The sequence below is a fragment of the Homo sapiens genome, chromosome 15 (genome assembly GCF_000001405.40).
Source record: "Homo sapiens chromosome 15, GRCh38.p14 Primary Assembly".
In the NCBI taxonomy this organism is placed as follows: domain Eukaryota; kingdom Metazoa; phylum Chordata; class Mammalia; order Primates; family Hominidae; genus Homo; species Homo sapiens.
Genome location: NC_000015.10, coordinates 29380365 through 29392692, shown reverse-complemented (window position 1 = coordinate 29392692; position 12328 = coordinate 29380365). Strand labels below are relative to the sequence as shown.

General features: G+C 47.8%; 1 protein-coding gene across 7 annotated transcripts in view; it reads left to right on the top strand.

Moving 5' to 3' along the window:
• Positions 1-12328, top strand: part of ENTREP2 (endosomal transmembrane epsin interactor 2) — a 557698-nt gene that overhangs the window by 282717 nt on the left and 262653 nt on the right. For all 7 annotated transcript variants that reach the window (NM_001387217.1, NM_001387215.1, XM_047432323.1 and 4 more), the window contains exon 2: positions 10862-10918. Coding sequence is in view for 4 of the 7 variants with exons in the window: in XM_047432323.1 (XP_047288279.1) it covers positions 10862-10918 (57 nt within the window). In the remaining 3 variants the exon portion in view is untranslated. The remainder of the gene's footprint in view (positions 1-10861; positions 10919-12328) is intronic.

Genomic DNA, 12328 nt, shown 5'->3' with positions numbered 1-12328 from the left:
ACAGATTCAGTAGCACAGTATCTCTCAAAGAAGATTAAAAAGAAATCCACACCTAACATACCAGGCAAAAAGTTCAGAATACTAAAGGCAAGGAGATGATCTCAAAAGTCTTTAGAGAATGAGGACAGCTGACTTGGCTGCAACAATGGCAGTCAGAAAACAGTGGAATAATAGTTTCAAACTGTTGAGAGATGCAACTGTCAACCTAGGGTGTTTCCAGCGTAACTATTTTTCAAGCATCAAGGCGAACGAAGTAAGCTATTTACAGATAAACCAAAAACGGGAGTTTATCACCAAAAAATCTGCTCTAAAGGAACTTTAATCGGGGTCGGGGGTGGGGGGGGTCATAACTTTTGTCATGACAATCTAGTGAAGCCTGTGGATCCCTTCTCAGAATAAGGTTTTTAAAAGCATGAAATAAAACTATTACAGGCCGGGCACAGTGGCTCACGCCTGTAATCCCTGCACTTTGGGAGGCCGAGGCGGGTGGATCACAAGGTCAGGAGATCGAGACCATCCTGGCTAACATGGTGAAACCCCTTCTCCACTAAAAAATACAAAAAAAGGCCGGGCACAGTGGCTCACGCCTGTAATTCCAACACTTTGGGAGGCTGAGGCGGGCAGATCACGAGGTCAGGAGATCGAGACCATCCTGGCTAACACAGTGAAACCCTGTCTCTACTAAAAAATAGGAAAAAAAATTAGCCAGGCATGGTGGCAGGCACCTGTAGTCCCAGCTACTTGGGAGGCTGAGGCAGGAGAATGGCGTGAACCCGGGAGGCGGAGCTTGCGGTGAGCCGAGCTCGTGTCACTGCACTCCAGCCTGGGCGATAGAGCCAGACTCTGTCTCAAAACAACAACAGCAACAAAAAACAAAACCAAAAAAACTATTACAAAGGAAACAAATTATTTTGAAATTTTTAAACTAAAAATATTTTAAAATGTATTATAATAATATATGTGCTACCTAATAACCCACTAAGTAACAAAATCCAGCAGCTACCCTAATGTCAGAGTAGATACCCGTAAGAGGAGGCAGCATCTTACAGGGCAGGCCCTGGACAAATGAGTTTGTTACCAAGCACTTAAGAGAGAATGTGCATCAAAGAAGCATGCATTGCATCAGAACAGACCATGGTGTATTTCACCTTTCAGTATCTTTTGACTCATGAGTTATTTAGAATATTTTAAAACACTTCAACACTAAGGAGTTTTTTCTCTTTCATGAGGTGATCTTTGTCATCAATTTATAGTTTTGCTTCTGCTTGAGAAGATAATGAAAGCTGCAGAGTTCTTTTTCTATCAGTAGGTTGAGAAGAAAGGTAACTTTTCTCAGGGACATTATGAGTGTGATGTGTTGGTGCAGCCCCTGAAGGGAAATGGTGTGGAGGATGTTTGGACCACAGCCTGGGATGAAAGGCTGGGAGAGGGAATGGTGAGTTGGAAGTTGCCCTAAGGAGAGGGGGCAGAAAGCATGGACAGGGTGGGGGTAGCAATGAGTGTGTCCTCAAAGGTAGAGACAGATGGTAGAGGCCTGCATGCCTCGTGAGCCTTCTGTGGCCCCAGCAAGACTCAGAGAAAGAAAGCCACACCCAAAGCAAGGAGAATTGACGGAGGGTGAAGTAGGAAGATCAGCTGCTCCAGGAGGCTGTAGGAGGAATATTGCACAGAGCTGCAGTCCAGGAGGTTTGGAAGATGGGGGGTTGGTGGACTCAGAATATTATTTGCTCTGTTTTTGCAACAATTCTTTCCACACACAGTGAATGCTGGCTTCTTAGTGGTAAATTGATATCTCTGTAGCTATTGGGCACCCATCTGCCATATGTTTCATGAAAGTAATTTACTTGGCTTTCAAGACTGCGTTCTAGAAGGACTTGCTTCACTATCAGTTGCCTTTGGACCAGACTTTATGATCTGAAGAACATTCTTGATTTTAGGAAGTAAAAGAACTTTTCAGTGTTAGAGGACAAGATTTAAAGAGCTAATTTATTCCAGACCTCTGTGTCCAGGCAGGGTACCAATCAAATGGGCAGGTCTTTGACTCTAAGGATGCCATTATTTCCCGGCAGCCTGTTATCCCTTGTCATCAGCCTCAACAGCAGGAAGTTCTGTCTCTGTTCTGATTTTATCTCTTGCCTCTATTAGGCTGGGTGGGGAAGTGGAGAAAAGAGCGAGTTGGCGTCCTTGTGACAACTCATGGTGCTCGCAAGGTTCGGCCTCCTCTCCTTGAGCAATATCATGCCTTTTCCAATCTATTTGGCTTTTTTTCCACAGCTATTTAATTCTATGTTACTCTTCCCCAACCCTCTTCGTTTTCTCCATATTCTTTGTGAACTGTGGACTCTGAATAATGATACCTGTAAATTAAACGGGATGAAGGTTTCATGATGCGGTAATTTCATGGCTAACTAGATTCATGACCCTTTTTCTCATGAGAGTGGTGCAAAATCAACCTACAGGATTACTGACATGTCAGAATGTGCAACATAATCCTTGCTGGTAGCTGGAATTGAGCAAAAACAGTTCAAGATCCGATGGTTTCAGAGCAGAGGCTCTGAGCTGCTTTTACATCAACCGCCCTTGGTCTCCAGTGGGCCAGAGCTGGCCTCTCCAGGGAGGAGGCACACCAGCACCTGGGCCGTGAAAAGCCTCCCTCAAGCCATTCTGCAGGCCCTCCGTCATTAGGGTTAAGCCTCCTCTCCCTGAGCAATATCATGCCTTTCCCAATCTATTTGGCCTTCGTATTTGGACCTGTGTCAGTGTTTCCGGTATCAGGGAGGGGTGGGGGGAGTGAAGTCTGTGCTGCCCCTCCTGGAGAGGTCTGGGGAGAAAGCAGATGTTTTGAAAAAATGATCCAGTGTCCCACTCCCGAAGAAACAAATAAACAAATAATGAATTGAGGCCAGAGTGGCAGGTGGCTGGAGTCACAATGACAGGGAGCAGCGTCAGGCGGCATGTGGCTGGAGAAGGGACTTGCCCTGAGCATGAGTGTCCACCATAGCACTGTGGCTGAGCCTGATGCCCACGGCAAGGTAGGGGCTTGGCCTGGGATTTCTACTGTGCTGTGAGCTGAGGCCCTCGAGCATCACAGTGTTTCCAAATCCTGGGTGCATTCCTGTTACTGGCAGAACTATACCTTTCTAGGGAAAAGTTTTCCAACTTGGCTCCACAGAAGCTCACTGATGAACAGCAAGCAATGCATGCACAGTCAGTTCCAAGCGCTCAAGCATTGGTGTTGGGAGCTGTGTCAGTGTTTCCAGGATTGGGGAGGGGTGTGGGGAGGGAAGCCTGTGCTGCCCCTCCTGGAGAGGTCTGGGGAGAAAGCAGATGTTTTGGAACAACAATCCAGTGTCCCACTCCGGATGTCGTAGTGTCTTAGTCTACTTAGGCTGCCATAACGAAATAGCATAGACTAGGTGACCTAACAGAAATTTATTTTCTCGCAGTTTGTGAAGCTGGAAAGTCTGAAATCAGGGTGTCAGCAAGCTTGGTTTCTGGTGAGGGCTCCTTCCTGACTTGCATTCTTTTTTTTTTTTTCATAGTTCCTGAATATTTTAATTATTATTATTGTTTTTTTAAATTATACTTTAAGTTCTAGGGTACATGTGCACAACGTGCAGGTTTGTTACATATGTATACATGTGCCATGTTGGTGTGCTGCATCCATTAACTCGTCATTTACATTAGGTATATCTCCTAATGTTTTCCCTCCCCCCTCCCCCCACCCCACAACAGGCCCCGGTGTGTGATGTTCCCCTTCCTGTGTCCAAGTGTTCTCATTGTTCAATTCCCACCTATGAGTGAGAACATGCAGTGTTTGGTTTTTTGTCCTTGCGATAGTTTGCTGAGAATGATGGTTTCCAGCTTCATCCATGTCTCTACAAAGGACATGAACTCATCCTTTTTTATGGCTACATAGTATTCCATGTTGTATATGTGGCATATTTTCTTAATCCAGTCTATCATTGATGGACATTTGGGTTAGTTCCAAGTCTTTGCTATTGTGAATAGTGCTGCAATAAACGTGTGTGCATGTGTCTTTATAGCAGCATGATTTATAATCCTTTGGGTATATACCCAGTAATGGGATGTCTGGGTCAAATGGTATTTCTAGTTCTAGATCCCTGAGGAATTGCCACACTGTCTTCCACAATGGTTGAACTAGTTTACAGTCCCACAACAGTGTAAAAGTGTTCCTATTTCTCTACGTCCTCTCCGGCACCTGTTGTTTCCTGACTTTTTAATTATGGCCATTCTAACTGGTGTGAGATGGCATCTCATTGTGGTTTTGATTTGCATTTCTCTGATGGCCAGTGATGATGAGCATTTTTTCATGTGTCTGTTGGCTGCATAAATGTCTTTTGAGAAGTGTCTGTTCATACCCTTCACCCACTTGTTGATAGGGTTGTTTGTTTTTTTCTTGTAAATTTGTTTGAGTTCTTTGTAGATTCTGGATATGAGCCCTTTGGCAGATGAGTAGATTGCAAAAATTTTCTCCCATTCTGTAGGTTGCCTGTTCACTCTGATGGTAGTTTCTTTTGCTGTGCAGAAGCTCTTTAGTTTAATTAGATCCCATTTGTCAATTTTGGCTTTTGTTGCCATTGCTTTTGGTGTTTTAGACATGAAGTCCTTGCCGATGCCTATGTCCTGAATGGTATTGCCTAGGTTTTCTTCTAGGGTTTTTATGGTTTTAGGTCTAACATATAAGTCTTTAATCCATCTTGAATTAATTTTTGTATAAGGTATAAGGAAGGGATCCAGTTTCAGCTTTCTACGTATGGCTAGCCAGTTTTCCCAGCACCATTTTTAAATAGGGAATCCTTTCCCCATTTCTTGTTTTTGTCAGGTTTGTCAAAGATCAGATGGTTGTAGATGTGTGGTATTATTTCTGAGGGCTCTGTTCTGTTCCATTGGTCTGTATCTCTGTTTTGGTACCAGTACCATGCTGTTTTGGTTACTGTAGCCTTGTAGTATAGTTTGAAGTCAGGTAGTGTGATGCCTCCAGCTTTGTTCTTTTGGCTTAGGATTGACTTGGCAATGCAGGCTCTTTTTTGGTTCCATATGAACTTTAAAGTAGTTTTTTCCAATTCTGTGAAGAAAGTCATTGGTAGCTTGATGGGGATGGCATTGAATCTATAAATTACCTTCGGCATTATGTCCATTTTCACGATATTGATTCTTCCTATCCATGAGCATGGAATGTTCTTCCATTTGTTTGTATCCTCTTTTATTTCGTTGAGCAGTGGTTTGTAGTTGTCCTTGAAGAGGTCCTTCACATCCCTTGTAAGTTGGATTCCTAGGTATTTTATTCTCTTTGAATCAATTGTGAATGGGAGTTCACTCATGATTTGGCTCTCTTTTTGTCTGTTATTCAACATATGCAAATCAATAAATGTAATCCAGCATATAAACAGAACCAAAGACAAAAACCACATGATTATCTCAATAGATGCAGAAAAGGCCTTTGACAAAATTCAACAGCCCTTCATGCTAAAAACTCTCAATAAATTAGGTATTGATGTGATGTATCTCAAAATAATAAGAGCCATCTATGACAAACCCACAGCCAATATCATACTGAATGGGCAAAAACTGGAAGCATTCCCTTTGAAAACTGGCACAAGACAGGGATGCCCTCTCTCACCACTCCTATTCAACATAGTGTTGGAAGTTCTGGCCAGGGCAGTCAGGCAGGAGAAAGAAATAAAGGGTATTCAATTAGGAAAAGAGGAAGTCAAATTGTCCCTGTTTGCAAATGACATGATTGTATATTTAGAAAACCCCATGGTCTCAGCCCAAAATCTCCTTAAGCTGATAAGCAACTTCAGCAAAGTCTCAGGATACAAAATCAATGTGCAAAATTCACAAGCATTTTTATACACCAATAACTGACTTGCACTCTGAATGGTCTGCCTCATTGTGTGTGTGCGGAGAGCGTGAGAGCTCGCTTTCTCCTCGTGTAGAGCTACCAGTCCCATTGTGAAGGCGTCATCCTCATGACCCAGTCTAATCCTAATCACCTCCCAGAGGCCCCATCTCCAAATACCATTACATTGCGGGTTAGGGATTCAACATCTCCAATTGGGGGGTCACATACATTTAGTCCCTAACAATTGTTTTCTGTTGCTGTGTAGCAAATGACCATAAACTTTGCAGCTTGACACAACACTCACTTAATACCTCATAGTTTTCTTGGGTTAGGAGTCTGGACCTTGCTTAGTAGAGTTGAAACCGGAGGAGTTCCCTTATCCGCCTCACCGGGCGTGTGACAAGGGTGTGGTTCGCTTCTTCGGTGCCCCGCTGTTCAAACTCCAAGGGGGAACATGAAGATGGGTAGGTTTTGGGGAGTGTTTTGGGGCTCCATCTCCACGGCATCGTCTAGGGTTGAGTGTTTGCAGGTCCCAAAGCCTCAGTGGGTGTGTGTTACAGAGTGCTCTTTCAGTTTTGCCATCTGCAGGCAGCTTGTGTTAATCAGCTCAGTTAGACCCTCTGCCTTATCACAAGGACAGAGGGCTTTCTGTATCCTGGTTCTTGCCCTAGTGTACAGGAAAAATCAGATCACACATGGGCTTGGAGGATGGGTGCGAGGTTTAATTGAGTGGTGGAGGTAGCTCTCAGCGAAGTGGATGGGGAGCAAAACGGGGATGGAGTGGGAAGGTGTCTTCCCCTGGAGTCAGGCCGGCCAGTGGCTGGACTCTCCTCCGACTGCCCTCGACCAAATTCTGTGTCATCCCGCCGTCAGTGGCCTGCCAGTGTCTGCTGGTGTCTGTTGGTGTGCCCTTCTCCTCCTTTCAACATCCAGCTGCTTGTGTCCATGCCCACTATGGTCTCAGATTTTTATGGGCACAGGATGGGGGGCATGGGAGGCCAGAGTGGTCTTGGAAGATGCAACATTTGGGCATGAAAACAGGATTGCCCGTTCTCACTTAGGTCCATGGGCACAGGCCTGAGGGTGGAGCCCTCGCCAGGCACCCCACCCTTCTCTACCCAGCATTTCCTTGCCCCCCTCCCATAGAAGAGTCACCTGGCCAGGTTTCACAAGGCTGCAACCAGAGTGTTGCTGGGGCCATGTTATTTGAACATGTCCCTGGGGGAAGACCACAAGAGTGACAGCCCATCATATTCTTACTCAGGGGAGAGCATTCTGTAAGGCCAGGGGTCACCAGGGGTCATTTTAGAATTCTGCCTGCCACGCCAAGTTTAATGGCTTTATTCTTTTGCTTTGTGTAGGAGAATTTGATCCATTCCTAGTTGTAGTTATTAATGATACTTGGAAATGCACATTGTCTTCAGTGAGCAAGTCACCCGTGTTTGTTGAAAGTCAAATTCTGTGAGGGGATTTGTGGAATGATAGCTTTGCTTATGGGAATGGGGAAGGTCAAGAACTCTCCCTGTAGCTTAATAAGATAAAAGCAATATTAACTTCCTTCAGGCTTAGAAGTAGGTGGAGTAGTGGCTACGATTTGGAAGTTTTATGTACTTCCAGTGAAATTCCTGCTACAAGCGACTTAGTCACTGTAGAATTTTGATAGTTTAATACACTTCAGCTGAGAAGAGGTCAAGGCGTTCAATCTGAGTTTATTAAAGATGCCTGCAGGACTCTGGTGGTAGTTTGGGGATCTGATGGGCCCCCTGGGCTCTTGAATTCCTAGGCTCTTCGTGAGTGAGGAGGGTGGGGCCATGGTTGAAGAACGGGTAAGATTTCATCTGGTAGACATGGGAAGTAGAAGACGCCATTTTCTAGGGGATGTTTCTTCTCACCATCTGTCCAGGCTTAGTCTGCGTGAGGCCAGTGTTGGGGCGTGTGGAAAAATGGAAGACACTTTTTGGAAGTTTCATCCTAGGCAGATGGCAGAGTCAGAGCCAGAGCCCCGGAATGTGGCCCTCAACTTGAGGGATAAGAAGAGTCGGGGGCTGAGGCTGGGGCCGGGAGGGCTGGGGACAGGAAGGGAGTGCTGGAAGATGGGGGCTGTCTCGGAGGTTGGGTGTGGAGGGAAGACAGCCCACAGAGCTCTGTGGCTTGTAGGTGAGTCACACAGTGGCTGCTGTGCAGTTTCCTCCCTTGCCAGCCTCCCTGGAGGTGCCCAGAGTGGCCTGGACAGGAGTGGGGCCACCAAGGGAGGTGCCTCCAGTGCTGGAAAATCAGGGACCTAGCTTTGTGGTCTAAATTGTCAGGCCAGGGTGATGCGGTTTGTTTGGTGGAGGCATCCAGGATGGCTTCAGTGGGGAGGGAGGAGGTGGAGACAAGAGCGAGTGGACAAGGCTGTCATCGGGCAGGTGAAACAGGAGCGTGCCGGCAGAGGGCAGAGAGATGAACCGGGAAATGGAGGGTGCTGAGCAGAAGAATGGATCCTGCTTAGTGACGGAGTGGCCCCTGAACTATATACCATGAGCTCAAAACATGATGGCATTATGGTCAGAAATTTTGAATTCACAAAAAGAAGAAAGTGGGTGTGGAGGAGTGAAGTCAGGGTCTGAAATGTCAAACATGAAATGATGGTGAGAGCTCCGGCGGGAATGGTCATCTCCTTCCAAGAAAGGCCGGTGTCCTCTGACTGTGAAATGACATGGGAACATGGTGTGCCCACTGGGTTCAAATGTTGGGTACAGAAGGCAAGAGAGAGGTTTCAGGGGCATTTGGAAGGAGAGTTAGTGAGACACAGCCCCTGAGAGACACGAGAGACATTGGTCAAGGATTTCCCTAGGGCTGGAACTGGACTGCGAGGCAAGGAGCCTGGGTGGCATGGCCATGGGAGGGGACCCGGGCGGTGGGAAATGGCTGTAAATAATGTCTGTCGCCGGTAACTGTGTTTGGAGGACTTGTGAGCGTTGCAGAAAAAATACACGTGTGAGAGGCTTGGGAGCAGAGCCCTGGTGTGCGTGCTTTGGTTCATGTTTTTGTTGTTGTTTTGTTGTTTTGTGGCCAGATGTTTTTGATACTAGACTAGCATGGTGCAGGATGTGATAGTGGCTGCTGTGTCTGAGACCTGGTTCTGCCCCCTGTGGAGGTGGTTGAGGGTGAACTGCAGTCTGTGACCAAGGGTACCTTGTGAGTTTGTCAGCATCATGCCCTCCTCCCGGGTCTGGCCAGTGCTTTTGGAGTCTCAGGGGACATGCAGCCAAGCCCTTCCAGCCAGTGCCCGGATGCCTGGCTTGTGCCCACAGTGGCAAGCGTGAGCAATTTGTCTTCACAGGAGACCTGGTCTGCAAACACCTTCCTTTTAATTCGGCCTTCTCACATGCTGCCCTGTTGAGTGAGCCTTAGCCTCCTGTTCCTCCCTGGTTGGACATGGGGGTAAGGGAGAGGGAAAGATCTCCAGGATTTCGGCTTGAGTGACGGGGAAGAAGAGGTACTCTTGTGGAGAGCAGAGGTTGCAAGAGGAAGTGTGGGCTTCTGAGGTGGAGGCTGCAGCTGCATTTTTGGACATGTTGGGTTGGACAGATGCCAGGAGCAGAGCCTGTGGACGGTGTGATGCCGTGGCCATGGCAAAGCCCTGGGCTGAGAATCACCTGTGCAGATACCAGTGGATGGTACTCGAGGAGCCTCAGGACAGCCACCACAGAGCCCTGGGGAGAGGAGACAAAGGGCTCAGGAGACAGGTGTTGGGAAACCAGGAAGAGGTTGGGGAGAGGGAGGAGGCCAGGAGGGAGGCTGTGGAGGAGAGCGGCCCCTGGGAAGTGGGAAGAACCGCAGGGGAGTGAGAAGCCACAGGAGCCCAGATGGGAGGGAGCCTCAGCCCTCAGCCGGGTGATGGGGACCGAGCTTTGTCTGTCGCACTTGGTGACTGCTGGGGAACCTTGGGAGAAGTTTCCTTGGAGTTGTGGGGCTGAAGCCAGATAGATGGTAGTGGGTGGGAAGTGACTGTGTCTTCATGATCCATTGGCCCTTCCTGGACACCAGGAAATCAGGAATGTGGGGATCAGAGCCAGTGTCATCCTCAGGTTGCCTGGCCTCAGGAGGCCGCCTAGGAGACAGGCAGGCCAGGAGCTGGACACAGGGCTAAGCAGTGGTTCTTCTAAGGGACAGAAGTCACAGTGTATTCATGTGATCAGGACAGTAGGGAGGAGGCAGGAGAGAGGGGATGACTTCTGGTGAGACCCCAGGCAAGGTCAAGGGCAGGACTTGGCCTGGGAAAGGAGTGGGCTGCTTGGAGTCAGGGCCTAGAAAGTTCTGGAGCCTCATCAGAAGACACTGCCTATGTACGGGTGAGGTGGGAAGCTGTGATGAGTGAAGGGGAGGGGCTCGCAGGGGCTGGAGGGGAGAGAAGGGTGTGCATCAGGGGAGCCAAGTGTGTATAGGGCAGAAGGAGCCTGCAGGGTCTGCCATGCCCAGGGTCCATGCAACCATGGCAGGTGGCCAGGTGGCCCGTGGGTGGGGTTGCATTTGCCTTTTCCCCAAATAGTGTTCTCTGTGATTTTTTTTTTTTTTTTGAGATGGAGTCTCGCTCTGCCTCCCAGGCTGGAGTGCAGTGGTGTGATCTTGGCTCACTGCAACCTCTGCCTCCCAGGTTCAAGTGATTCTCGTGCCTCAGCCTCCCGAGTAGCTAGGAATACAAGCGTGTGCCTAGCACAGCCAAATCACATCGAGGACCAGGGTGGGGTGTTTCAGAAAGCCTGTCACTCTCGGGCCACCTAGTGCAGTGCACAAAGTGACCCCTCCATAGCACCCTGGTGCCCTGAGAGACCAATGTGCCTCTCAGAGTGGGTGCAAGCTGTGAAAATGCAGCTCATGGTAGCCCCGCCACTGTGTGTGTGCTGTGTTCCACACGTCCTTCTCCGGGTTGAAACGGTTCACAGTGTTTTGATTGCCCATGCAAGGTTTCGGAAGCATCTCACCTTCCTGTATCTTTTGTCCTTCCAGGTGCTGCTGTCGGGACTCATAGGTGTCGTCTCCTGGAAGAGGCCTCTCTCCCTTGTGGTAAGTGGCACCTGCGTCTCCAGGTGGCCTTGGAGCAGGGTTCCACCTTCAGATGCGTGAGCAGGTTGGAGGCAGTGGCGAAGAGAATTCCAACTTCTTTTCAGGCAGCGGGAAGCAGAGCTTGATAAAATCTCACTGCTGAATGCTGATGGGCTTGTGAGAAGCACTGTGTTTCTCATGGGAGGTGCTTCTGAGAGCGCTCCTCAGTGTCTTGCTGAGATGCTCCGAGGGCATCCTCTTTGTGTTTGTTTTGTTTTGCTGTCCTCCTGTAAGGACCGAGCGTGAACCAAGGGCTTTTTTTTTTTTTTTTTTTTTTTTTGAGACAGAGTCTCGCTCTGTCACCTAGCCTGGAGTGCAATGGCATGATCTCGGCTCACTGCAACCTCTGCCTCCCAGGTTCAAATGATTCTCTGCCTCAGCCTCCTGAATAGCTGGAATTACAGGTGCCTGCCACCATGCCCGGCTAATTTTTTTGTGTTTTTAGTAGAGATGGGGTTTCACCATCTTGGCCAGGCTGGTCTGGAACTCCTGAACTCGTGATCCACCCACCTTGGCCTCCCAAAGTGCTGGGATTACAGGCATGAGCCACTGCGCCTGGCCAACAAGGGCATTTTAAAAGTGTGGATGCGGCTTGGCGCAGCTGACGCCTGTAATCCCAGCACTTTGGGGTGCCGAGGCGGGCAGATAATGAGTCAGGAGCTCGAGACCAGCCTGGCCAACATGGTGAAACCCCATCTCTACTAAAATTAGAAAAATTAGCCGGGGAATGTTGGCGGGTGTCTGTAATCCCAGCTACTGGGGAGACTGAGGCAGGAGAATTGCTTGAACCCGGGAGGTAGAGGTTGCAGTGAGCCGAGATCGCGCCACACCACTGCACTCCAGCCTGGTGCAGAGAGAGAATCCATCTCAAAAAAAAAAAAAAAAAAGTGTGGATGCATGCATTTCATCTAGACATTAAAGCCTGTTTATGCACTATACATGCATATGTATGATCGCACAAGCAAAATATATGTTATCAGAGTTCAAGAAATGTTAGATTTTTGTGTTTTTGGGGGAACCCTAAAATTCTGTGAGTAAAATAAAAAGAGTTACTTGAATTGCCGTGGCATTGTGCTGAGGAGCAGGCCACGCGGGAGATGGAGAGAGGTTAATGGTTTTTCCCTCGGAAAAATGCCCTGAGCAGATTTGTGTCTATTGATTTGTATGCCTGTTCTTCTCAGTGTATGCATTAATATATGTATGTGTCTGTGTCAGGACTAGAGGAAGAGGTTTTCTGGGTTTTGATAGATAATGAAAAAGACAGCGTGGCATTTTTCTTCTTTTATATTAATCAATTATTTAAAATCTCCTCTTTAAGTGATTAGACTTGGAGATAATGACATGTAGTAAATATTAATGGGAATAGAAAAA